We start from the raw sequence: 26967 nt of genomic DNA on the forward strand, positions 1-26967 counted from the left end.
TGCTGATGCTCATTTCCGGGTTTCAGCCTGCTGTGCATCCAGGCTGGGGAACATCAGAGGGAAAAATGATAAACTCGCCGCCAGTTTATTGGTACTTCAAATTGTGGTCTTCTTCATCCATCTGCTATTATTTTTCATAGTTCTCAGATAGCTGCTACATGCATTCTGTTCAGGTTTTACAGCTTCATTCAGTGAAAGAGACACTGAACCTAGAACCCTGTTCCTTACATCTTTTGTTTCTATTTTTAAGGACCATCCATGTTGCTTTAAGTACAGCTGTTTAATTTTGTCTGCTGCATAGTATTCTGTCATGTTTTTGTCAAATTTTGTTTGTCTTTTTTTTTTTTTTTTTTTTGGATACAGGGTCTCACTCTGTCACCCAGGCCTGGAGTGCAGTGTCATGAACATAGCTCTCTGTTGCCTCCTTGACTTGACCTCCTGGGTGCAAGTGAGCCTCCCACCTCACCCTTGCAAGTAGCTAGGACTACAGGCGTGCACCCCCACAGCCAGCTAATTTCTAAATATTCTGTAGAGAGGGTCTTGCCATGTTGCCCAGGCTGTTCTTGAACACCGGCCTCAAGCGATCCTCCTGCCCGGACCTCCCAAACTGCTGGGATTATAGGCATGGACCACCGTACTTGGCCTCATTTGTCCTCTTGAAATGAACACTTAGCATTCTTCTACTTCCTTACTACCACAAAATGCATACATGCGTCTTCATGGTGCTGTGTACAAATTTCTGTGGTGGTGCGTGTCCAGGAATGGAATTGCTGTGTCTTAAGGTATATGGGTACCTTTCATTAAAGCATACTTTTCATTAAATACTGCCAAATTAGTGTCTAAAATGATCATATCAGTTTATACATTTATATTGGCCAGTATTTGAAAGTCTACTTCTAATTTTTGCCAGTCTGGCAGGTATAATCTTATCTTTGTTAACATGTTCACTTCTAGGATTATACAAAATAGTAAATGAAAACTCGAGAATAACGCCTTAGGTTATCCTTCTCTTAGAAATGTCACTGTTTACTTGACAAGTTTGGTGTATCCGTGTTTAAGCTGGAGTAGTTGTCTACTAAGGGCAAGATCTTTGTAGGACCCATGATAGAGCCATACTCAGGAATATTTTTTGTACCTTTTTAAACCTAATTACCTTATTAATCATGGGTATATTGAGTAATTTAACGGCAAGTTGGATAATGTTCCTTAGGTTAATGTCTTCTAATTTCAGTCACTACTGATAAAAATAAATTGTGTGGGAGTTGATTTGTTATCTTGGTTATATATTAAAAGGCCTTGATGTACAGCAGTCCTCCCTTATCCATGTTTTCATTGTCTGGGGTTTCAGCTACTTTGGTCAAGTGTGGTCTAAAATTGCAGGAATAAACAGTTCATACATTTTAAATTGTGTGTCATTCTGAGTAGTTTGATGAAATCTCGTGCCATCCTGCTCATCCCACCTGGGATGTGAATTACCCCTTTGTCCAGCATATCCACGCTGTGTATGCTACCTGCCCATTAGTCACTTAGCCCTCTTGGATATCAGATTGAAAAACATGGTACTGGCCAGGTGTGGAGGCTCAAGTCTGTAATCCCAGTACTTTGGGAGGCCGAGGCAGGCGGATTACAAAGTCAGGAGATCGAGACCATCCTGGCTAACACGGTGAAACCCCGTCTCTACTAAAAATATAAAAAATTAGCTGGGTGTGGTGGCGGGCGCCCGTAGTCCCAGCTACTCGGGAGGCTGAGGCAGGAGAATGGCGTGAACCTGGGAGGCGGAGCTTGCAGTGGGCCGAGATTGTGCCGCTGCACTCCAGCCTGGGTGACAGAGCAAGACTCTGTCTCAAAAAAAAAAAAAGAAAAAAAAGAAAAAAAGGTACTATGTATAGGATTCGGTATGATCTGCGATTTCAGGCATCCACTAGGGTCTTGAAACGTAACCCTTGGATAAGGGGGTACTACTGTACTTCATAAGGGCAAGGGTGGTTATGTATTAATAGAAATATTCTTACTCAAGTATATGTGAATACATTTTTGTAAATATTCATCAATTTGGAGTATAAAAGAGAAAATACTGAGGCTTCCCTTCAGCTCTACTTTCCAGAGTTAACACCATTAAAATGTTAATACCTGTTTTTATAGGCCCCTTCTCCATGCATTTATATATGTGTATAAAGTAGTATTATAATGTGTATGCTACTTTTCAGCTTGATTTAAAAACAAACAAAAAAAACATTGGGAGGCTGAGGTGGGTGGATCACTTGAGGTCAGGAGTTCAAGACCAGCGTGTCCAACATGGTGAAACCCCGTCTCTACTAAAAATACAAAAAATTAGCTAGGCGTGGTGGTGTGTGCCTATAATCTCAGTTACTTGGGAGGCTGAGGCAGGAGAATAGCTTAAACCCAGGAGGCAGAGGTTGCAGTGAGCGGTGATTGCACCACTGCACTCCAGCCTGGGTGAGAGTGAGACTCTTACGTCAAAAACAAAACAATAAAAGTAACACATCTTGGAGCTCCTCCCTTTCATTTGTTCGGCAGTTATTATCTGAGTGCTTGCTTTGTGCTAAAATGTTTTAGAATGCTACGTTACCTTTTTTTAAAAAAAACTATTGCTATACAAAGTTCAGCCAGGTGTGGTGGTTCACGCCTGTAATCCCAGACACTCCGGAGGCTGAGGCAAGAGAATTGCTTGAACTTGGGAGGCAGGGGTTGCAGTGAGCTAAGATCACAGCACTGCACTCCAGCCTGGGCGACAAAGTGAAGATTGTCTCAAAAACAAACAAAACACCAAAAAACAAAACAAAACTACTGCCATGTATCCCATAAAATAGATGTGTCTTAATTTAATCAGTTTCTAATTGGTGGAATTTAGATGATTTTATCATTGTATGTTCCCCTCTGTATACATGTGAATGTGAACTGTTCTTCAGGATAGACATTTAAACTTCGATTTTTTTTTTTTTTTTTTTTTTTTGAGACAGGGTTTTGCTCTGTTGCCCAGGCTGGAGTGCAGTGGCACAGTAATGGCTCACGTTAGCCTTGACTTCCCAGGCTCCAGTGATCCTCCCACTCCTGCCTCCGGAGTAGCTGGAACTACAGGCTCGCACCACCATGCCATGGCGAATTTTTGTAGTTTTGGTACAGTTGGAGTTTCACCATGTTGCCCGGGCTGGTCTCACTCCTGAGCTCAAGTCTCTGCCTCCCAAAGTGTTGGGATTACAGGTGTGAGCCACTACTCCCGGCCAAACTTGGAAGTTTGAAAGAGTGACCTTGAGAGGTGGTGCCAATTTACGTTTCCAGCAGGAGTTTGAGAATGCACCAGTTTTCTCACTCATCATCATGATCAAGTTTAGAATAATCTCCATTGCAGATTTCCCCCCAAATATTGCTTACCTTTTAATTTTTTTATAGTTTAGGTAATTTTTCCATACAAAATAATTTTATGTCTCTTCTTAAAAAGGCCTGTTCTGTCTCCATTATAAAAATTTTTTTTTTGAGACGGAATCTCGCTCTGTCACTCAGGCTGGAGTGCGGTGGCGCGGTCTCAGCTTACTGCAAGCTCCGCCTCCTGGGTTCACGCCATTCTCTTGCCTCAGCCTCCTGAGAAGCTGGGACTACAGGCGCCCGCCACCATGCCTGGCTAATTTTTTGTATTTTTAGTGGAGACGGGGTTTCACCGTGTTAGCCAGGATGGTCTCGATCTCCTGACTTCGTGATCTGCCCACCTCGGCCTCCCAAAGTACTGGGATTACAGGTGTGAGCCACCGCGCCCGGCCTAAAATATTCTTTTATGTTTATCCTATGTTAATAGTTTTATTTTAGCTCTTGAGAATTAAAAATTTAACTGTGGTGAAGAACACATGGCAACATGACAATTTACCAACTTGCCTGTTTCTAAGTGTAGAGTTCAGTAGTGTGTACTCACATCGTTGTGCAACAGATCTCCATAAACTTTCATCTTTCAAAACTGAAACTCTGTACTCATTAAACAATTCCCTGTTTCCCCCTACTCCCGGACCCTGGTAACCACCATTCTACTTTCTGTTTCTCTGAATTTTAGATACCTCACAAAAGCAGAATCTTACAGTATTTGTTTTTCGTGACTGGCTTATTTCACTTACCATGATGTCCTCAAATTTCATCCATGTTGTAGCATGTGATGGGTAGGATTTCCTTTCCTTTCTAAGGCTGATTAGTACTCTGTTGTATGTGTAGACCACATTTTGTTTATCCATGAATCCCTCAGTGGCCATTTGGGTTGCCTCCACCTCTTGGCCATTGTGAATAATGCTGCTGGGAACATAGGTATGCAAATAGCTCTTTAAAGTTCTGCTTTCCGTTCTTTTGGATATATACCAGAAGTGGGATTTCTAGATTATGTGGTAGTTCCATTTTTAATTTTAATTTTTGAGGAACCGCCATACTGTCTTTCCATAATGGTTGTACCGTTTTGCAATCCCACCAACAGTGCACAAGGGTTCCATTTTCTCCACAGCCTCATCAGTACTTGAAATTTTCTTTTTTTTTTTGATAGTAGCCATCCTAATGGGTGTGAGGTGGTATCTCATTGTGATTTCATTTTGCCTTTCTCTAGATATTAATGATATTGGCACTTTTGATATGCTTATTGACCACTTGTATATCATTTTTGGAGAAATATCTTCAAGTATTTTGCCCAGTTTTTAATCAGGTTGTTGTTATTGAGTTACAGGAGTCATTTACATGCAATTAGCTCTTGGTTTTTGTTTGTTTGTTTTTGAGACAGAGTCTTGCTCTCTCACCTAGCCTGGAATACTGTGGTGTGATCTTGGCTCACCACAGCCTCTGCTTCTGGGACTCCAGCAATCCTCCCGGCTCAGCCTCCCGAGTAGCTGGGACCACAGGTGCATGCCACCACGCCCGGCTAATTTTTGTATTTTTTGTAAAGATGGGGTTTCTCCATGTTGCCTAGGCTCGTCTTGAACTCATGGGCTCAAGCAGTCCTCCCACCTTGGCCTCCCAAAGGACTGGGATTACAGACATAAGCCACCACACTCACACCCTACTATTTAGCTTTTTATTTTTGGATACGGAGTTTCACTCTTGTTGCCCAGGCTGGAGTGCAATGGTGTGATCTCAGCTCACTGCAAACTCCGCCTCCTGGGTTAAAGCAATTCTCCTGCCTCAGCCTCCGGAGTAGCTGGGATTACAGGCATGCGCCACCACGCCTGGCTAATTTTGTATTTTTAGTAGAGATGGGGTTTCTCCGTGTTGGTCAGGCTGATCTCGAACTCCCGACCTCAGGTGATCCACCCACCTAGGCCTCCCAAAGTGCTGGGATTACAGGCGTGAGCCACTGCGCCCGGCTGGTTTTTGTTGTTTGTTGTTTTTCCAGTAGAATACAGGTTCATTTGAGGACAGGGGTTGTACCTTTTTTTTTTTTTTTTGAGACAGAGTCTTGTTCCTCCAGGCGGGAGTGCACGATCTTGGCTCACTGCAACCTCCACCTCCCGGGTTCAAGCGATTCTCCTGTCTCAGTCTCCCGAGTAGCTGGGACTACAGGTGTGCGTCACCACGCCCAGCTAATTTTTTTTGTATTTTTAGTAGAGATGGGGTTTCACCATGTTGGCCAGGATGGTCTCCATCTCCTGACCTCATGATCTGCCCACCTCGGCCTCCCAAAGTGCTAGGATTACAGATGTGAGCCGCCGCACCCAGCAAGGAGTGTACCTTAATTTATGCTTTTTATCTCCATCAAGCCAATGTCTCACATACAGGTAATCAGTAAATACTTATTGCATGGATTGAACATAATTTAATTACTGGATTCCAGATACTTGATGACATAAATGCCCCATTTTAACCTGGGACTTAGGTTAATTCTTAAATGTAGGGTAAAGAAAGGCTTTTGGGGGCAATTTTACAAAAGGAAAACACATCTGATGTTTTTTATTAGTGGTTAATTCACTAGTAGACAAGTACTATTCCTACTGCTCTTTCTTTCTTTGGTGCTCTTTTGATTTGTCTGTTCTTCAGTTACTTTGTTTGACCTATCTTTTGTTTGGATATTACATGTTTTTAAGTTTGAGTCCAGAATTTAAATTTAGAGAAATAGAAATTGTGCTGTTTTGAAATAGAATGCACAGTGGTCAGTGCACAATGGTATACCCTAAAGTCTTGCGGGTAGAGGACGGGTGGTTTTGTTTACTGTAACTCTGCTATTCAGTGAAATTCCTGGTAAAGAGCCTTCTGTTGTAGAATTTTGTAGAGCAGTGTTTTCCTTGGACTTTTCACCCCTTTGTGTAACCCTGTATGTGAGTAGATGTCAATGATATTTCTGTACTCTTGGGTACTAGCTTTTCCCCAAAAACTGAGACTTGTTGGCAGGATTTGGGGAGTTAAGATGAAAATATTTTCAATTATGGGTCTAAATTTAATCATCTTCCCCCATTGCCATCCCTGTTGAGATTTTTTTGGGAGAAGCAGGGAGCCCTTCTGCTTCTTTATCTTTTTATCACACCACCCCCATGCCAATATCTAGGTATTAATTTCATCTGTCACCAAATTCTTTCAGCTGTGCCTTTAAAGTAGATTTCAAATCCAGTTGCTGACACTGCTAACCACCCTAGTCTGAGCTATTACCATCTCTTGTCTGGATGATAATAATAGCCTTCCCATTGGTCTTCCTGCTTCCAGTATTATCCTTCCCCAATCAGTTTTTTTTACAACAGCCAAAACAATCTGTAAAAAATGTGAATTAGATCATGTCATTTTCCTGTATTAGAAAAACACTCTGTTTTTGTTTCACATAATTCACCCCTAAGAGGTGTTAGTTCCTGAACTAATGTTGACTTGAAAATAGTCATTGTGCTTCTTCTGTTTCTAGGAGGAACAGCACAGCATGCTGGGCTCTGGATTTAAAGCTGAGCGCTTAAGAGTGAATTTGAGATTAGTCATAAATCGCCTTAAACTATTGGAGAAAAAGAAAAGTGAGTAGTGTACTTTTTTTCCCCAAAAATAAATCACTGGATACTAGCACCCCAGTAATGGGTCTTTCAGGCCAGTACTATGAAGTCTTAGGGATCATATTTTTTTTTGTTGTTTTTGTTGAGACAGGGTCTCACTCTGTCGCCCAGGATGGAGTGCAGTGGTGTGATCTCGGCTCACTGCAACCTCCATCTCGTGGGTTCAAGTGATTCTTGTGCCTCAGCCTCCCAAGTAGCTGGGATTACAGGTGTGTGCCACCACACCTGGCTAATTTTCATGTTTTTAGTAGAGACGGGATTTCACCACGTTGGCCAGGCTGGTCTTGCACTCATGACCTCAAAGTCATCTGCCTGCCTCAGCCTCCCAAAGTGCTGGGATTACAGGCGTGAGCTACCATGCCCGCCCTGGGATCATATCTTTTAAGCTTTGGATCCATTTCTGCCCTTTGTGACTTTTAGACTGAGTACCTTTTTTGCAGAGAAAGGGACATACTCTGTTGTTGTGGCATTAGGTCACCTGACTCTTGAGTTGGAAATGTCAAGCCACATGAGCTATATTTTCTCACCTAGACAGAGTAGCAAATTCTACAGTAGAGGGGATGGGATTAGATTTGCTAAAGGAGAGGAGCTAGGATATAGTAGAAACACCCAGTTCTTCCTGTTGGGGGGAGATTGGCCTGTAGGCCAGATGCAAGTGCTCTACTGCTGTGAGATCGGAGTGGGATTTGTGTCTTAGCGGAACTGGCCCAGAAAGCAAGGAAGGAGATTGCTGACTATCTGGCTGCTGGGAAAGATGAACGAGCTCGGATCCGTGTGGAGCACATTATCCGGGAAGACTACCTCGTGGAGGCCATGGAGATCCTGGAGCTGTACTGTGACCTGCTGCTGGCTCGGTTTGGCCTTATCCAGTCTATGAAGTAAGATATTTTGATTCAGAGACCTAAATCATTTCTGGAATTTGAGAAAGGAGTAATATGATCTCTTTCTGCATTAAGGGACTATTTCACATGCCCAAGGATCTGCTGCCTAACAGTTGCTGAAAGGCCTGTTAAAAAGAAAATACAGAATCTGAAACTGAGAAGCCTAAATTTGAATCTTGGCTCGACCATTTTCCGAGTTCATGGCCTTGAGCTTGTTGCCTAGTTTTGAGTTCCTCCAAAAGTAAAATAAGATCACGAAAATGGCTAGAAGCCTAGAGTTATTGTGAGAATCTAGTGAGATTCACAGAATGGCTTTGGAGGCTATAAAGTATATGAAACAAAAGCTAGGATTTTGTTGGTTTGTTTTAAAGAATGTTATATTAATTTTTTTCCTTGATTAGGGAACTAGATTCTGGTCTGGCTGAATCTGTGTCTACATTGATCTGGGCTGCTCCTCGACTCCAGTCAGAAGTGGCTGAGTTGAAAATAGTGAGTACAAGTAGTTTCAGTGATGTCTGTAGCTTTTCATATTGTTAGAAAGGTTGGTTAATATAAGTTACTTCTGCTGATTTGACCAGATATTTTGTACCATTCTTATGTTGCTTTTGAAATAGGTTTTGTAAATTTGTTTCTCCCTTTCAGCCTTATATCGTAGAATAGAACAGTGTTTTGCAAACTTGAGCAGTTTTTTTAAGGAGCAAAGTTTTGTGTATCTCCAGTTTTGTCTTAATGTTATTTAACTCTATGCAAATAGAAAAGTTCTTATACAACTGTAAACCAGTAAAGTTAAAATAACATTAAGGTGACAGATGTTTTTGCTTTATTTATTAATTCCACAAATATTTATTAAATAAATTGTATGAGCTATGTAAGTGCTGGGGGTAACAGTGGTGAACAAAATATGGCACCAGCCATACTCCTGTAGCTTAGAGTCTAGCAGAAGAGACAGACATTAACCAGAAAATTGCACATCACAACATGGATATGGTACTGACTCCTAGGATACAAATTCAGTTGTGTTGTTTTCTATTTTCTACATCTTTGCCTTTCTGTTTTATTTCCTAGGAGACTGTGTCATTCTTATCTCTCAACCCATCTACTGAGATTTCCTTCTTTTCTAGGTTTTTTTCAAGAGCTCTTTTTAATTCTCTGAATATTTTTTATGGTTTGTTTCATGGCTACAATTTTTTCTAAGTCTCTGAGGATATTAATTATGGTTTATTTTTAAACGTCTGTCATGTTTGTTTCTCTCAAGTTCATTTTTCCTATTTCTTAGTTTTATAGTAGAGGCTTTCCAAAGATTTAGTGGTCCTTGGCTGTCGGTTTACATTTAAGAGTGAGGCACTAAAAAGGAGATTGGAACCTCTCGTGTGCATGGGTGGGTTTTTACTGCCAGATGCCTTCATTGCTGAGTGATCTGGTTAAGCTCTTATTTGGAGGAATTCCAGACTGTGAGGAACTAGTCATCTTTCCTTGGGTTGGTCGTTTTCTCCAGAATCCTCCTATCTTCTGTCGAGTGTATAAGCTGGCTGCCAGCATTTCTGAGAGCCCAGTGGAGAAGGAAGCCAAAAATCTATTTGATACATAGAAGACTTACACTTAATTCTTCTGTTGTAAGTATCACTGTTGTCTCCTGTGTGTAGACTCGAGTCGCTTTAGTTAACTCCCCCCAGAGAATAAACTTCCAATAGTCCAATAGGGTACCAGGGATAGTAATTGAGTTTTGTGGGCAGAGAAGAGGGACAGTAGAGGCAACTGATTCTTATGTAGGCTTTTTTTTTTTTTTTTTGAGATGGAGTCTTGCAGTGTTGCCTGGGCTGGAGTGCAGTGGTACAATTTTGGCTCACTGCAACCTCTGCCTCCTGGGTTGAAGCGATTCTTTTGCCTCATCGTCCTTAGTAGCTGGGATTACAGGTGCCCGCCACCATGCCCAGCTAATTTTTTGTATTTTTGGTAGAGACGGGATTTCATCATGTTGACCAGGCTGGTCTCGAACTCCTGACCTCGTGATCCGCCTGCCTCGGCCTCCCAAAGTGTTGGGATTACAGGCGTGAGCCACCATGTTGAGCCGTTTTTGGTCTCTTCTGTACTCCTTTAAAATTAATTTTGGAAAAGGCTTAAATATGTTACAAAACTCAAAAGCCATAAACAGAGTGATAAATTAATGTGAATAAAAAAATCTCTGTGTAGTATAAACCAGCCAAAACAAAAACCATAAAAGACAAATGCCATTTATATCATAGGTGTCAGGTACCCCTGAAAGTCTTCATAATGAACAGTGAGAACTCTCCTACTGGGCTTCTGGAATGTTGGGACCACTCTGGTCCAATGCTACTGTCGTTTCCTGTCTGGAAATGAGAGTAGCTTCTTGAATATTCTTCCTATTCCTACTTTGGCTTCTTTTAATCTATTCACACCATTCCATCAGAACCACCTGAGGGTTTTGTCCAAAACACAGCTCCGATCCTGTCACGACCTCTTGCTTTAAAGCCCATTAGTAGCTTTCTGTTGCTCTTGTGATAGAAACAAAACTCCCTGATACAGCCTACATGGTCCTGCATTGTCTGGCTCCCACTTCCCTTTTTCATTTCTTACCACACTCCTTGGCCTCTGCACTAGAGGCTCACTGGCTGATTGCAGGCTTGAGAACTGACCATGTTTGTTTCTGCCAGAGGCCTTTGCACTGCTGTTTTCTTTTCCTGGAATGTGCTTCCTTCCCTATTTAGTTAACTCCTAGTCATCCTTTAATTTATTATTTGAGACGGTCTTGATCTGTCACCCAGGCTGGAGTGCAGTGGCACGATCTTGCCTCACTGCAGCCTCGGCTTCCTGGGCTCAACTGATCATCCTCCCACCTCAGCCCCCTGAGTAGCTGAGACAAGAGGTGCGTGCCACCATGCCCAGCTAATTTTTGTATCTTTTAAAAATAGAGACTAGGGTTTTGCTGCGTTGCCCAGGCTGGTCTTGAACACCTGAACTCAAGTGATCAGCCTGCCTCAGCCTCACAAAGTGTTGGGATTACAGGCATGAGCCACGATGCCTGGCCTTAGTCATCCTTTAAATCTCAGCAAAGCATCACTTCCCTCAGGAAGCCTTACCTGACTTTTCTGATCAGATTTGATTCTGCTGTTAGAAGCTGGTGATAGCATGGTGCACCTTCCCTTGGTATCACTTACTGTAGTTGCAGTTGTACCTTTATCTGTGTGATTATTTTGTTAGAAATGCTTGTTCCCCAGTGCCACAGAGAAATAGCACTCAAATATAAATTTATTTCAGCAAGGCAATTTTTACCTTCTGCAGAAAGGGTGCTCCTTGCAGATGGAACAATGGCGAGCGCACACTGAACAAAGGGGGTAAAAATATTTATATCCTACACATCTGGACCCTACTGCTGTGTCCTGATTCCATTGGCTGGAACTGGACCTCACAGTCTGGGCTACACCCGTTTGGCTAAAGGTTTTAAAAGTTTTTAAAATAGATATATGCAAGGGAGAACAAAGGAAAAGAGGAACTTGCTTATGAGAAGACTTAGAAAAGTACTAACATTCCCAAATAAGGAAGGGGCATAGGCTGCGAGCTGGGACTTGCCTGTGAGCACATCTAGCACAGATATCTTGGTTAAAGTACAAGGACATAGAATGTATTTCTTATATTTAACAGCTACATAGGATACGGCTTAACAAAGAGTTATTAGCACAAAGCAAGGAGGCTTGAAGGAAGTTAGTCTTTTAAAAGAAGCTTATTTCTAACACTTATGATTTATTCTTTAACAAGGGAAATTTTGAAGAGGAAACTTTACTTTGTACAATTTGATTAATGTAAGACTCTATAAGAGTAAGAACAGTATCTGTTTTGTTCATTTTATTTATATTGTATAATACTCATGATAGTGTTTGGCACTCGAGTGCTGCTCATTGGATGGATGGATGGATGGATGAACAAATAGTGGATTAATGCATACCCCTTAAGGTTTTGCAGACTCCAGTGTTTTGGAAATCTTGTAATAGACGCGTGTTTACTGTTGCCAGGAAGAAGCTTAAAGCAGTCCGTTGGAGTGGTCTCTATTTTTATTTGCTGTCCTTTTTCTTTTTAGGTTGCTGATCAGCTCTGTGCCAAGTATAGCAAGGAATATGGCAAGCTATGTAGGACCAACCAGATTGGAACTGTGAATGACAGGGTAATGAACATACTTGGTAAACATGAAGGCAGTGTGTGGGAGCAGTTTATTGTACTGCTTGTGGCAATTCTAGTGGGTACCACTGTATTGCTCAGTATGGGGTTTCACCTTTCATAGTGGGGTGAGGAGGACAGCTGTGTGGCTGGCAGTGTGGTCCAATCCTTACACCTGCCCAATTCCTCTGGTTACTGTCATTCCTGACTCCACTTCCCCACTTTGTATGCCTCGTGTCATTTGTGAAGGTTGGAAGTGAGGTGGGGAGAAGGGTGGATGAATTGAACTGTGGAAGGCAGCAGTATCATCTTTTGCCAGCATCTGGGTCATGTGTAATGAGAATGTGAAAGAGAGACTTGGGTCCTCTGATGTGTCTTGTGACTCTGAAAAAAATCATTTAACTGCTCTGAACCTTTTTTTCCCTCAATATTACCTGTAAAATGAGAGGAGCTAACTTCGCATAGTGAGGTGAGGATTAGGCTGGTTGGTATACATGCATCTTAGCCCTGGGTCTTTTTACTTACAGCTAATGCACAAGCTGAGTGTGGAAGCCCCACCCAAAATCCTGGTGGAGAGATACCTGATTGAAATTGCAAAGAATTACAACGTACCCTATGAACCTGACTCTGTGGTCATGGTAAGTTTATCCCAGAATACAAAGAAAAATGAGTTTGTAGGTATGACCTTCTTTGGAAAACAAAAAAAACATTCTTTGCACTAACTTAAATTTGTGTGAGTTTAAGCCTTTGTCCAGTTAGTACCTTTATGACAATAAATGTGCCTGCATATCTCACAGGGTACTTAAGGAATTAGATGAATGACAACACTTTGAGAAGGTCAAAACCTTGATACAAATGTAAAATGGCACTATTATTGCTACTTTTTGGTGAACTTCAGGAATTGAGAAACCTCCTGTTCATAGCAAGAAATGCCCCAAGACCCAAACAGTTCCCGAAACATTTATTGGGTACCCACCATGTGTCTGATAGTGCACAGAAAGCTGAGGATACAGGGATAAAAAATCATCCACCAGTTGGCCAGGTGCGGTGGCTGGCTCACGCCTGTAATCCCAGCACTTTGGGAGGCCGAGGCAGGCGGATCACAAGGTCAGGAGATCGAGACCATCCTGGCTAACACGGTGAAACCCTGTCTCTACTAAAAATACAAAAAATTAGCTGGGTGTGGTGGTGGGCACCTGTAATCTCAGCTACTCGGGAGGCTGAGGCAGGAGAATGGCTTGAACCCAGGAGGTGGAAGAGCTTGTGGTGAGCCAAGATTGTGCCACTGCACTCCAGTCTGGGTGACAGAGTGAGACTCCGTCTCAAAAAAAAAAACCATCCGCCAGTTAAGGTCAGTGGGGTGTGGTGGATGCTTTGGTGTGTACTGCTCAGACATCCCTATTACCCACAGTTGGAAACACCATCAGGTCCATTCCAGCTGCAGAAGTCATTGGGGAATTGGCTGAGGCCTTTGTTGTGACTGTGTTGCAGCCCAACTTCTCCTTCCACCTAACTCTGCCTTTTCTTCCCCCACAGGTGTTGATCCCAGAAGCACTCCAGTAAACTTGCTTTATGCTAATCTCCATCTCAGACTCCGCTTTCTGGGGAACCTGGCCTTGGACATGGGTTAATGACCTGGGTTTCTCTTTTTTTCTCAGGCAGAAGCTCCTCCTGGGGTAGAGACAGATCTTATTGATGTTGGATTCACAGATGATGTGAAGAAAGGAGGCCCTGGAAGAGGAGGGAGTGGTGGCTTCACAGCACCAGTTGGTGGACCTGATGGAACGGTGCCAATGCCCATGCCCATGCCCATGCCTATGCCATCTGCAAATACGCCTTTCTCATATCCACTGCCAAAGGGACCAGTAAGTATATATAAGTGTGGATGTAAGCTTTAGAAAATGTTATAGATAACAAGTTGGCTCTGTGAACACACTCAGGAATCATAGGTTGTCAGGAGCCATTAGCAGTAAGAACATTTGGTATTAGCTGGCAGTCATCTTGTGGGGAAAAAACACATTGGATTCAGAGAAGGTCTTCTAGTTCAGCTGTAGGAAAATCTATAGAGTTGGTGCTAGAAAAACACTTTTCATATAGGTTTACTGAATATCTTTGGGATCTGTTATAGTCATACTAGTAGTTTTTTCCACAAATGAATAAACCACCAATTATTACCAGGCAGAACAACCTTTGTAGATAAGATGGTCATTGGTAGTAAGAAAGTCTCGTTAGAGTTTTCCCTTGTAAACACTGAAGCACTTGATTCAATAAAGAATAGCCTTTGGCTCTAGATCTTTAAAAATCTGGAATCCTGACCACATGTGGTCCTTTTGGGCATTTTTAAGGATCTTGAATATTTATATATATTTAGTATGAGAATATAAATGTATTTCTTTCTCCCTTCCCATACCCAAACCTTCGAGATTGCAAACTGGAGGCAGTGTCTCTGATGTTGCCTTTCTCCTCTTACAGTCAGATTTCAATGGACTGCCAATGGGGACTTATCAGGCCTTTCCCAATATTCATCCACCTCAGATACCAGCAACTCCCCCATCGTATGAATCTGTAAGTGCCTGAGCCTCTTTTATAAGCAACAGGAGAGTGAATGCCATGAAGAGCGAGCAAAATAATGACCACAGGGAAGGCAGAGTTTTGATCAACTCCTAGTACTGTCATCATTTTTGCTTTGGGATTCTTGTGTTGCTTTATAACACTACCCTGGAAATGTGGAGTGGGTGGTGATGGCAGTATCATTGGTGGCAATGCTTTGTCTGCAATTAAGCCAGGAATCAGGAAGGAACTGCAGATTTCTTAGAAAGTTGTAGTGCTCTATGAGGGCACTTAGCCAGTTGTTTTGACCGACTAGGCAGATAATCACACTGAGCTGATACAATCGTGGTGCTAAAGTATCATAATTATTAAAATATTAGTCCTATGTGTTCTCAACACATGTAAAGGAAGAGTGACCAGATTGATCTTAATCAGAAATGTCCAGTTACATGTCGGCCGACAGCATTGATTTCACATTTTAGTATTCTAGTTAAAATTTGCTAATGAATAGCTAATATAATACCTCGAACTGTAGGTGGTTCAGGTTACTTGTTTTTGACCAGCCTTGTTTCTTCAGTTACTGTAGGCCTTTTGAGACCTGTCTCCATCTAGTATTTTACTGAGAAACAAATTGGTGTGGCATTTGCTATGTAAATTACTCATCTAGGAAGATCTTCCTGTTCCTGAGCTTGCTTTCTGTTCTTTCCTTTGGTTCCCATCTGTAGCTGATGTGTTCTACCTTGGGCCTGAGTTTTTCTTATGCTTTGGTTTTGCATGCGTCACATAACCCACAGCCGTTGGTAGGAATGAGGTCGAAAATCTTCATCAGTATTTGAGGACTTGGTTCTTAAGATATATTCAAGAATGCTTTCCCTTTGCCCAAAGGTGAAAGTATCATTAAAGTTGTCTTAGTATGGTAAGGATTTTTTTTTCTCTGCTTGGCAGTTAAGAGTTCAACATGGGGCTGGGCGGGGTGGTTCACGCCTGTAATCCCAGCACTTTGGGAGGCTTAGGCAGGCGTTCGAGACCAGCCTGGGCAACATGGCGAAACCCTGTCTCTACCCAAAATACAAAAATTGGCCAGGCATAGTGCTGCATGCCTGTGGTCCCAGCTATGCAGGAGGCTGAGGCGGGGCAATGGCTGGAGGCCAGGAAGTGGAGGCTGTGGTGAGCCGTGATTGTATCACTGCACTCCAGCCTGGGTGACAGGAGACCCTGTCTCAAAATCAAAGGAGTTCAACATAGTATCTACCTGATTGGAAAAAATGCAGGGGCAGTTTCTTTGGAACAGGCTCTGTTGCATTTGGTGAGCAACTTAACTTTTGGAAACACAGGGGCTTACACCAGTACTTTCTCCAGTGACACTATTGCTGTCTCCTCTGGTAACAATCTTTGTGTTTCAGGTAGATGACATTAATGCTGATAAGAATATCTCTTCTGCACAGATTGTTGGTGAGTAGTATCAATCAGAAACCTGCAGAGCTCAGTGCTGAACCCTCTGCTGTTTTCTCATTATTGTTCCTCCCTTAGAGACTGTTTCCATGTCCATGGACTTCTATCTGCATGCCCTGTTCTCTTCCCAAATGCTAAAATAGAACTCAGGATATCCTGCTTCTAAGTACAAATCCTAAGTGATAGCTCAGTGATTTTTTTTTTTTTTTTTTTGAGATGGAGTCTTGCTCTGTTGTCCAGGCTGGAGTGCAGTGTTGTGATCTTGGCTCACTGCAAGCTCCGCCTCCCGGGTTCACGCCATTCTCCTGCCTCAGCCTCCTGAGTAGCTGGGACTACAGGCGCCCGCCACCATGCCTGGCTAATTTTTTTGTATTTTTAGTAGAGACGGGGTTTCACCGTGTTAGCCAGGATGGTCTCGATCTCCTGACCTTGTGAGATCCGCCTGCCTTGGCCTCCCAAAGTGCTTGGATTACAGACATGAGCCACTGCCCCCAGCTGATTTTTTTTTTTTTTTTTTGAGACGGAGTCTTGCTCTGTTGCCCAGGCTGGAGTGTGGTGGCACAGTCTTGGCTCACTGCAACCTCTGCCTCCCGGGTTCAGGCTATTCTCCTGCCTCACCTCTTGAGTAGCTGGGATTATAGGCACACGCCACCACGCCCAGCTAATTTTTGTATTTTTAGTAGAGACAGGGTTTCACCACGTTGGTCAGGCTGGTCTTGAACTCCTGACCTTGTGATCCGCCTGCCTCAGCCTCCCAAAGTGCTGAGATTACAGGCATGAGCCACCGTGCCCGGCCAGCTCAGTGAATTTTGTAAAGCAATCATGTTCATGTAGCTACCACTCAATTAAAAAAGTACTGGCCAGGTGTGGTGATTCACATTTGTAATCCAAGCACTTTGGGAAGCTGAGGCAGGAGGATCACTTGAGGCCAGGAGTTTGAGAACAGCCTGGGCAAGATCCTTGTTTCCACAAAAAATTTTTAAAAAACCCATCTGAGCTTGGTGGTATGGACTTGTGGTCACAGCTACTCAAGAGGCGTTCTTAGCCCAGGAGTTCAAGATTACAGTGAGTGATCATTGTACTCCAGCCTGGGGGACAAAAGTGAGACCCTGTCTTAAAAAACAAAAATTAAGATAATACCTACCAGCAAAAACCAGAGGGAAGAATACTTTTAAAATTAGAGGCCGGGTGCGGTGGCTCACCCCTGTAATCCCAGCACCTTGGGAGGCCTAGGTGGGCAGATCACCTGAGGTCAGGTGTTCAAGACCAGGCTGGTCAACATGGTGAAACCCTGTCTCTACTAAAAATACACAAATTAGCTGGGTGTGGTGGCAGGCGCCTGTAATCCCAGCTACTCGGGAAGCTGAGGCAGAAGAATCTCTTGAACCCGGGAAGCGGAGGTTGTAGTGAACCAAGATTATGCCATTGCACTCCAGCCTGGGCGACAGAGTGAGACTTTGTCTAAAAAGAATATAAATAATATTAGACAGTTGTCTTATGGAGATACAATTTACATTTTAAAAAAACTCATAGTTTTTTTTTTTTTTAGGCAGTCTTGCTCTGTCACCCAGGCTGGAATGCAGTGGCGTGATCTCGGCTCATTGCAAGCTCCACCTCCCGGGTTCACGCCATTCTCCTGCCTCAACCTCCCAAGTAGCTGGGACTACAGGCATCCCCCACCACGCCTGGCTAATTTTTTTTTGTATTTTTAGTAGAGATGGGGTTTCACCATGTTAGCCAGGATGGTCTTGATCTCCTGACCTTGTGATCTGCCCACATCGGCCTCCCAAAGTGCTGGGATTACAGGCGTGAGCCACCACGCCCGGCAAACCCATACATTTTAAGTGTATACACAGACAATTCCACTCTCTGATCAAGGTATACAACATTACTCTTACCTCAAAGTTCCCTTGTTGCCAGTCAACTCTGCCCTTCCCTCCAGAGTCAGAGCACTATTTTGATTTTTTTGTAATTTAGTTTTCCTGAATCTAGAACTTAAGGAAACATACAGTAGATGTGTGTGGGGGCATGATCTTAATATAAAATACTAGATGGAAGACTGGAAATACAGATCAGACTATTATAACAAAATAACTTGGACATTATATTCCTTTAAAAAAACTTTGCCCCCAATCCCTAAAGAATGTTGGTTCTTAAGGAAGCAGTGTTTGTTCTATCAGAATCCTATTATCACTCCTTGGACTTAGTTGGTAAAGTAACAGACCTTATGAAAAGGAACAGTCGATTGCTCTGTGGATGTGGCCCCATGTATCCCACTTTGATTTCCCTTAAACTTTTTTCTCACCACAGGAAAGTAAAACAGGATTCAACCCTAATTAGAAAATGTAGATATTAACTGTCATTCAAATGTTTATTAGCCTCTAGAATTAACTTTTTTTTAGCCAGATGCGGTGGCTCACACCTGTAATCCAGCACTTTGGGAGGCTGAGGTGTGTGGATCACTTGAGATCAGAGTTCAAGGCCAACCTGGTGAAACCCTCTCTCTACTAAAAATACAAAAATTAGCCAGGTGTGGTGGCATGCGCCTGTAATCCCAGCTACTCAGGAGGCTGAGGCAGGAGAATTGCCTGAACCCAGGAGGCAGAGGTGCAGTGAGCTGAGATCACGCCAACTGCACTCCAGCCTGGGTGACAGAGGGAGACTGTCTCAAAAAAAAAAAAAAAAGTTTGTGAACTAAGGTTTTCTCCTGTGTTTTGATCATTTTATTTTTACTGCCAAAGGGGATCTGAGTCATTTCTCTGGTATTTGTAACGTTGTGCTCCTTGCCCTAATTAGGTCCTGGACCCAAGCCAGAAGCCTCTGCAAAGCTTCCTTCCAGACCTGCAGATAACTATGACAACTTTGTCCTACCAGAGTTGCCATCTGTGCCAGACACACTACCAACTGCATCTGCTGGTGCCAGCACCTCAGCATCTGAAGACATTGACTTTGATGATCTTTCCCGGAGGTTTGAAGAGCTGAAAAAGAAAACATAGGTCTCTTAAACCAGGCAACTTTCACGTTTTGGGAGTTGAGACTGAGCAATTTCTCCTTGTAACAAAGAATCTCCATGAAATTCTGTTTCATCTGTTAACCGTCACTCAGCACAACACTCCCTCTGGGCTCTCTTCCTGCTCCTCCAGATTCTGCTGCTTTCCAGTTCTCTGTTGATCCTGAGACTAACAATTGGAGACTGAGGCCAGAGCAACTGGCTCCTGGCAGCTGTGCTTGTCCGTTTCCTGTCAGAGTGATCCCAGGTTTCCTCCTGGCCCGTCCCATGGTCCCTCCACAGGAGTGTGAGAGGATGGGGGAAGCACTGTGGGAAGACCACCAAAGATGGCTGGACAGTGGGAGAGAGCACGTTGTGAAGCATCCCAGCCTCGTGTTGAGGTTCCAGACTTAGAAACAGACCCCTCTGTACAGGGGGATTGTGGTGAGTGAGAATCAAGGCCACCTTGTGTGTTTTCTCACTCTCGAATGCAAGTGGGAGAGGGAAAATGACTCGGGACGCCATTGTAACGGTTCCTGGAAGCTGGGCCCTCTCATTGGCATATACAGTACTCCTCGCTGCAGGGCACTGTCCCACCGGGATCCAGTTGCAAAGTTTGTCTTGACAGTTGAAGGCCTCGCTTAGTTGTACTGGATTCTCAGGGAGCCCTCTGTGGCCTTTTGCTTTGCGTGCTGTTTCCCTTGTACCAGAGGGCGGCACCGTGGAAATTCTGTTTTCCCTGTAGCATATTGTGTTGGATTGCATTACTGGCAGAGAAAGGACAAGGTGCCATTCAAGTCCTAGGGTGGGCTTCCAGCTGCCTTAATAGAAGTACTCAAGTCTTTTGGGTAGTGAGCTGGAAAGCCTACAGGAAAAGAGGGGTACCTGTTTTCATTTGAAAACTTTGATTCATGGAACCTTTAAAACTAATCTCAGAAAAATTTTTGGTGCCCATGCAGCTGTAGTTGTTCACTGCTTTCCTGGATGGATGGGACTCTTATGTCATAACTTCTGTTACTCCTTTGGCCCATAGCTAAGGTCATCCTTCCCCACAGGGGTGGCTTTGGGATTGGATGATACAGCTTTTGCTTCTGTGTAGTATACCTGTACATACTTGTTTCAGGCAGCCTTTCTTTAATGTTTTCAGTTGGTTTGTATTCTGTAGCTCAGTAGCTGCTAATAAAGTTAAAGATCCTGTGTCCTGCTTTCTCTACTGTTTGGTCAGATGATGAAGTATAAATCTGGATTTTAGTGGAGAATATTTTAACCAAGTGATCCATGTAAACCAGCCCTTAGTTTCAGGATTCCTGGAGCAGTACAGAGCTCATTTTGATCTCTGTATTTAGATAGCCCAGATAGCATCTGTGAATTTCCTTGGTCTTCCTCAGTGGCAGGGCTCCGCATCTGCCATGCCTCATCCTTGGATGTTTATTTTTAGTAAGTTGCAGTGAGCTCACTTCTGACTGCTTCATTTCCCGCAGCCATCCTGGGCCATGGGTGGTGAGTTCTGTTACTTGCTGCTTGGCAGCAGAGCTAGTTTGTCTCGTAGTATTCTTGCATTGTTAATCCTATCTTGACAGTGCCAAGATCCATAAGAACTTGGGACCAAGGGGATTTTGATTCCTAACTTACAGAATTAAAAACAAAGTATATTATAATTTTAAAGCTATGCCATGCAAAGATAAGTAGTAATACGCTAATAAATACTAAGCCAAGTAGGAGATAACAGGATTAAGGTAGTTCATCTAAAACTTCAGTGTCACTGCCCACTGCTGTCGTGGCTGCTTGCTCAGATGAGGTTTTTTGGGGCCAACTGATTCCTAACAAATTTGAGAGCTTCTGTAGCAGTGTATCTATTAGTGCAGCTTCTTTCTGAGTATTGAAGACAAAAAGAGAAAAGTGAGAAAATTGAAATTACTGCTAATAGTGGAGTAAAAAAAGTACCAAAGATTTTTAAAAAATTAGTAAATGTAAAGATACTATTTCTTTAATAATTTGCAGTCAGGCATTGGAGTGTTTCCACTAATGGTTGCGAGCCAACTATTTATAGGACAATGGCTATAGAATATTATGTAGTCTTATAAATTGGGTTTCCTAGGAAGATAGCTGGCAGAGCTTTTGAAACTAATAAAGGGAATATGATACTGTGCATTATAAATTATGTCAGCCCGTCATCTTAGGGGCAGTTACAGTGGAGCTTTCCCAGTGATATAACAGCATGCTAGTTTATCTTTTAGTTACCTACCTTAAGCGACTTTCTTTCTTTTCCAAAGGCCATGAGAATGGCCGAAACGAAAAGATTAATTACCACAAGTACCATCAAGATGACACTGGTGAGGATCAGAAAGGTGCCCAGGACTGGGTCTAAAGCGAAAACCTGGGAAAACAATAAGAACACTTGCAGTGACTGACAATTTAGTTTATACTTTACAAACATAAGCTATATGCTAGTGTTTGGGATCTTATCAGAAGAAAAGCTTATCCGAAGGAAACTTAGGGAGAGAGTCAAAAGATAATAAGAAGGAAAATACTTTTAAATGGACAGAAGAGCAGGAATGACTCATTTTAAGGAGGTTAAGATAATTGTGACTGCAGGGCTTTCACAAGAAAACAGGTGAGTTGCAGTGGAATTGGAAATGATTCAAATGTCACATGAGTTTTGGCAAAAAATACATCTAATCATGGAAGCTAAAAGTGGGAGGGGGGTAAGCAAACACTGAAAGATTAAATGCATACCAGAAATGAGAATGCACACTGTCTCTGCCATATCAAGAAACTACAACCCTAAACACAGGAGCATTCCAATAAAAGTTAACAGGTTGGCCACAGAAAACTGGCTTTTTAGTATTTTTTTTTTTCCATTGTCATTTTTAAAGGTACAAGCATTGAGTTCTGCCATTCTTTACTTTTCTGCATACATAAATATCAAGTTCTGGGCTTATTGGAATGGTTCCCATAACAAAAACTGTTGTTTAAAATTTAGATGTTCTTTTTCAACAAATGGTATTTATTTTCCCTTGGTATTGGCCCATTCATTGTTGCCACTAGGGCACTGTTTAAAAATATCCCAACAGAGGGGTTGATTACAGTCAATGCCACCCTGATGGAAATCTATATGGCAAAATATTTTCAAGCACCAAACTGTTTTACCTACTTAAAAATGATTATTATAACAATTTCAGGTCAACCAGATAATGTGGGCAATCTCTGAGTTTGTGATACAAGACTTATTTCCAATAAGTTTATTTTTATGTACAATTTTACTGTTTATTTTTTGTTTGCTCTATTTGTTTTTTAATGTTTTTTACTTTATGTTTACTGTATTTTTATGTACAATTACATCCAAAGCAGAAAAGTTCCTTTTTTATCCCCAAAAGGAGGTGTCAGCAAAAATTTGTTACTCTGATTACTTCCTTCACAGCTTTAGGATACGAAGTGCTGCAGTGGCAAAGGCTCATCCCCTAGTTATTGGAGCTAGAACCACAACAGAACACAGCCTAGTCAGCCAAAACAGCAGTTACAGTTGTCCCTTAGTATCTGAGAGAGATTGGCGCCAGGGCCCCCACAGGTACCAAAATCTGAGGATGCTTAAGTCCCTTATTTTTATTTTTTAATTGCAAGCTTCCCTAAAGGTTAAGAAAGTGTCTTCTCCCCCACTTTTTTTTTTTTTTTTTTTTTTTGAAATGGTCTTGCTCTCACCCCGGCTGGAGTGCAGTGGCGTGATCTTGGCTCACTGCAACCTCCACCTCCCAGGTTCAAGCGATTCTCCTCAGTCAGTCTCCTGAGTGGCTGGGATTACAGGTTCCCACCACCATGCCTGGCTAATTTTTGTATTTTAGTAGAGACGGGATTTTACCATGTTGGCCAGGCTGGTCTTGAACTCCTGACCTCAAGTGATCAGCCCCACCTTGGCCTTCTAGAGTGCTGGGATTACAGGCGTGAGCTACTGTGCCCGGCTCAAAGTCCCTTTTTAAAAATGGCACAGTATTTGCATAAACCCTATATACATCTCTCTTATACTTGAAATAAACTTTAGATTACCTCTAGTACTTTATAGTGGAACTGCTACGTAAAATAGTTGTTACACCGGTTTGTGGTTTTTTGTGGGAGACAGTCTCGCTCAGAGGGCAGTGGGATGATCATAGCTCATTGCATCCTCACTCCTGAGCTCAAGCAATCTTTTCACTTTGGCCTCCTAAGTAACAGGAACTACAGGTACATGCTACCATGCCTGACTCTTCTACTGTATTTTAAAATGTGTGTTATATTTTATTGTTACCTTTCAAATATTTTCATTCTGGGATTGGTTGAATCTGTGGATGCAGACCCTGCAGATACAACATTAGAAACTGAACCTACCCATTTTAATTAGTAATTTTGGAATTCTAGATCATTAGAATGATCAACCATGATCAAAATCTTGCCAGTTTCACTGCTTAAATGGCAGGTTTTTCCTTGCTTGGTCATATCTACCCTTTACATACCAGGGTTTGGAGCCCAGTGCCTCATTTGGGTTTCCTACTTTATATGTTGAGGAGGAAGGCAGGGATTTCTGTTGGTAGTTCCTGGGAGGAAATAATAGGCTCTCTGAAGTGAGTAGTTATTAACTCAACAGAAATAACGCAGTTTCTCTTAGAACTGTACCTTCCTAATTCTTTGTCACTTCCATTATGTCACTTTTTTTTTTGAGACAGTTTCACTGTCTTGCCCAGGCTGGAGTGCAGTGGCACAATCTCAGCTCACTGCAACCTCCGCCTGCCAGGTTAAGGCAATTCTCCTGCATCAACCTCCTGAGGAGCTGGGATTACAGGTGTGCACCACCACGCCTGGCTAGGCTAATTTTTGTGTTTTTATTAGAGATGGGGTTTCACCATGTTGGCCAGGCTGGTCTTGAACTCCTGACCTCAAAAGTGATCCGCTGGCTTCGGCTTCCCAAAGTATTAGGATTATAGGCATGAGCCACCGCACCTGGCCTTTTTTTTTTTTTTTTTTTTTTTTTAATTTAAATAGACATAGGGTCTGGAGTGTAGTGGCATGATCATGGCTTATTGCAGCTTCCAACTCCTGGGCTCACAGGATTCTCTCTCCTCAGCCTCCAGCCTCCTGAGTGGCTAGGACTACAGGTGCATGCCACCACACCTGGCTAATTTTTATTTTTTATTTTTAGTAGAGACAAAGTCTCTATGTTGCCCAGGCTGGTCTCAAATTCTTGGCCTCAAGCAGTCCTCCCCTTCTTGGCCTCTCATGGCTTGAACCAACTTACCCTACCCTGTTAATGCACTTTCAAGGGGCCATTGAGAAGCAGAGAATCTTGTTAATCTGGCCAAGCACAAGAGCACAAGCTTCGGCTCAGTGTCCTTTGCCAATAAGATTAAGGACACAAGAAGTGAGGAAGGAGGGACTGAGTGCTTAGGAAAGGGCAGGTTTCTGAAAGCAACAGCCATGTAAATGCTGTATGCATAGGCAGTACCATAAAGCAGTAGAGCAAAGGACTGAAATTTTCCCCCTTTTCCAGTGTGCAGTGTACAGTAGGGGGCTGTTTTCATAAGGACCCCCCCAATTTTCCTTGTTCAATATATTGAATTCTGTGAGGAAACAAATTATTATTTTTACCTCCTCTTGGTGAGAAATTCCCATCAGGAGACCAACAACAGTCACTGCTGAGCTGAAAAATGTCCGGTAGTCAGAGATGCTGCATCCAAACAGCAGGTTAAACTGAACAGAAGGAGAAAGGCCAGTTAGTGCAAGCCGAGCGCACATCTTTCTATCCTGAGGTGCTTGGGGATGTGGCCAACATAGAAGCAATGGAACAGAAATTCCTTGTGGCCAAATTATGCCCAAAGAATACATAAACTTCCTTTGTAATAACATAGTGTTTTCATAGAAGTTTATTTGACCTTTATATTACCGTGTGAGCTAAGTTTTATCCCCATTTTAGAGAAAAATATGTGGGTTTAAGTCATACCAGTTAAGTGTGGAACTAGATCTAAACCCGGCTTTCCTACTGTACCACCTCGGGTTTCTGTGTTGTGACCATTTCTATGGGAAGCGATGCGATTCCAAGACCACAGCACACGGAGAAGGAGAGACAGCAACGTGGGGGCTTACGGCAATGGCATAGCCTGTCAGCAGGATTAGGATGATCAGCAGAAAGCCCACCACCTCGTCCCAGGCTCGGCTCAGTGTCCTGCTGATGACCCGCAGCCTGGGGCTATGACGCAGCAGGTTCCATAACTGAACAGTTGCCAGGAGAACCGGGAAGCCCACAAGGTGAGTCGCAGCAGAGTTCACTTTTACTGCCTCATAGAAGCTGATGAATCTGCACCAAGGAAAGCTGACAGTTACTCAGCAAGAAGTATGTGCCTATACTGCAGTTTCCCCAGCGCCCCTGCTGCTGATCGTGGCAGCCCTGAGTCCTGTGAGGTCAAATGCTTGTTGATGTGAGAACTGCTTTCTATTGTGGCCTCCTGTGAGTTGTGGATATGGGAGTAACAGAAGGCCACATACTATTCAAGTGATCTACCTGCTGCAGATTGCACTGGGAGCTGTGCCGAAGAAGCCTTAAAATGTGACCTCTAGCTGATTTCTTTATTCCAAATTCATCCTGGGAAGCAAAACCAGCCTCCTGCACTGCTCTGAGCCAAATCTCTCCTCTCAAAAGGAGATTAACTCAGCCCAGAGAGAGGAGCCATGCTGCTGGTCTGTTTTCTGTGGCACACTAATCCTGTGTTCTCTGGCAGTACAGGATTGCTGTAATAGGTGCAATCAAGCTTAGAACAAAATGATGGGTGGTAGACTAGAGGCGAGGGGTGTTGCTTAGCAATTAGGTTTTGTTTTGAGAGAGAGACATTCATAATTTTAGGTTGCAGCAACCAGGTTACTTGGAAGGAGCCCCACAGACACTAGCAAGTGGCACTCTGCACAGATCCGCTGTCACTGCATAAACTGCTCTCCATAAGGCCTACTTGAAACAATGCCTCAGGAAAAGTTACACAGATCACCACCCAGGCTGTTGGCCACTGATGCAAAGGTTAGCAAAGCACCACTTGGCAACACTTGGCATGGGAAACATAGATGTTCCTCTCCATGGGAAAAACCAGAGAAGGTGCCCAAAGAGGCACCAAAAATCTCTTAGTATGGATGAGTGAATAGATGAACATCCCTACCCAGAAAGCAGCTCCCTTTGCATTTAAAGGATGGGACTATGTGTTGTGGTTTTATTTAAAGGATTATTTGTCGTGCGTTAGGCTTTATGCCTTCGCCAGAGGGCAAAATAATGACCAATTCCAGGCCCTTCTGAAATTTAAATGCATTATCCTTAAGCACATACCTAAGCACTAATGAAGGCAGAAGAGCTCTTCAATGTGACTAGCAGTTAAATGGCTTCTAGTTCACTGTCTTCTCTGCTGTGGACATGAGTCCAAGTTCTCTTTTAACTCTAATGTTATGCAAATACAGATCTGGTAGGGGAGTTTGAAGAATACTTGTGTATAAACAGGAAACTTTAGACATGAGGTAGGAATATGCTGTGCCCCTCAGGCTTCCTCTCACCTGTCCTGGTCATCGCGGTATCGTGCCATGTTTTTCTTATGTAGAGAAATACTCTTCATGTCAAGCCCCAGGAGGATGAAGCTAATGAGGATTATACTTGTGTCCAGAATGTTTCTTTTCCCAGTGAAGAACCTCCACTTCTGCTGTTTCAGCTGACAACCCTAAACATAGACAGCACAGTCACTGTTGCTTGTCTGAGAGATTAGCTAGGTCTCTCCCTGCTCAAGTGTGATGAACGCAGCTGATGTCTGTGGGCAAAGCACACTGCCAGGCATTTATCAGATCTCACTTGGACAAATGGGTTATGGTCTTAGTTCAGGTCTGTAGTCTTCAGAAATGCTGCTTACAAAAAAGTTATCTTCAAACAACT

General features: G+C 42.9%; 2 protein-coding genes across 14 annotated transcripts in view, besides 1 other annotated feature; one reads left to right on the forward strand and one right to left on the reverse strand.

Moving 5' to 3' along the window:
* The window catches only part of IST1 (IST1 factor associated with ESCRT-III), a 36792-nt gene extending 14353 nt beyond the window's left edge, over nt 1-22439 (forward strand). Inside the window, exons 3-11 of one of the 6 annotated variants that reach the window (NM_001270976.1) lie at nt 6866-6968; nt 7702-7882; nt 8287-8374; nt 11979-12062; nt 12583-12693; nt 13714-13920; nt 14528-14620; nt 16009-16057; nt 18854-21879. In NM_001270976.1, the coding sequence (NP_001257905.1) occupies nt 6866-6968; nt 7702-7882; nt 8287-8374; nt 11979-12062; nt 12583-12693; nt 13714-13920; nt 14528-14620; nt 16009-16057; nt 18854-19053 (1116 nt within the window). In that variant the 3' untranslated portion in view covers nt 19054-21879. Of the gene's footprint in view, nt 1-6865; nt 6969-7701; nt 7883-8286; nt 8375-11978; nt 12063-12582; nt 12694-13713; nt 13921-14527; nt 14621-16008; nt 16058-18853 lie in introns of all 6 variants that reach the window. The other 5 variants (NM_001270975.2, NM_014761.4, NM_001270977.2 and 2 more) reach the window with 5 other exon arrangements.
* Nucleotides 10573-10752: an enhancer, noted in NCBI's record as "active region_11088". NCBI's record gives its function as "activates an Ori minimal core promoter by ATAC-STARR-seq in GM12878 lymphoblastoid cells {active_cell/tissue: GM12878}" and the evidence as "EXISTENCE:reporter gene assay evidence [ECO:0000049][PMID:35858748]".
* PKD1L3 (polycystin 1 like 3, transient receptor potential channel interacting) overlaps nt 20778-26967 on the reverse strand; it is a 70865-nt gene continuing 64675 nt past the window's right edge. For all 8 annotated transcript variants that reach the window (XM_024450254.2, XM_024450257.2, XM_024450256.2 and 5 more), the window contains 5 exons: nt 26598-26758; nt 25155-25365; nt 24660-24761; nt 21292-21423; nt 20778-20918 (listed from right to left, as the gene is read on the reverse strand). In XM_024450254.2, coding sequence (XP_024306022.1) covers nt 20778-20918; nt 21292-21423; nt 24660-24761; nt 25155-25365; nt 26598-26758 — 747 coding nt within the window. The remainder of the gene's footprint in view (nt 20919-21291; nt 21424-24659; nt 24762-25154; nt 25366-26597; nt 26759-26967) is intronic.

Source organism: Homo sapiens, chromosome 16 (genome assembly GCF_000001405.40).
Source record: "Homo sapiens chromosome 16, GRCh38.p14 Primary Assembly".
Classification (NCBI taxonomy): domain Eukaryota; kingdom Metazoa; phylum Chordata; class Mammalia; order Primates; family Hominidae; genus Homo; species Homo sapiens.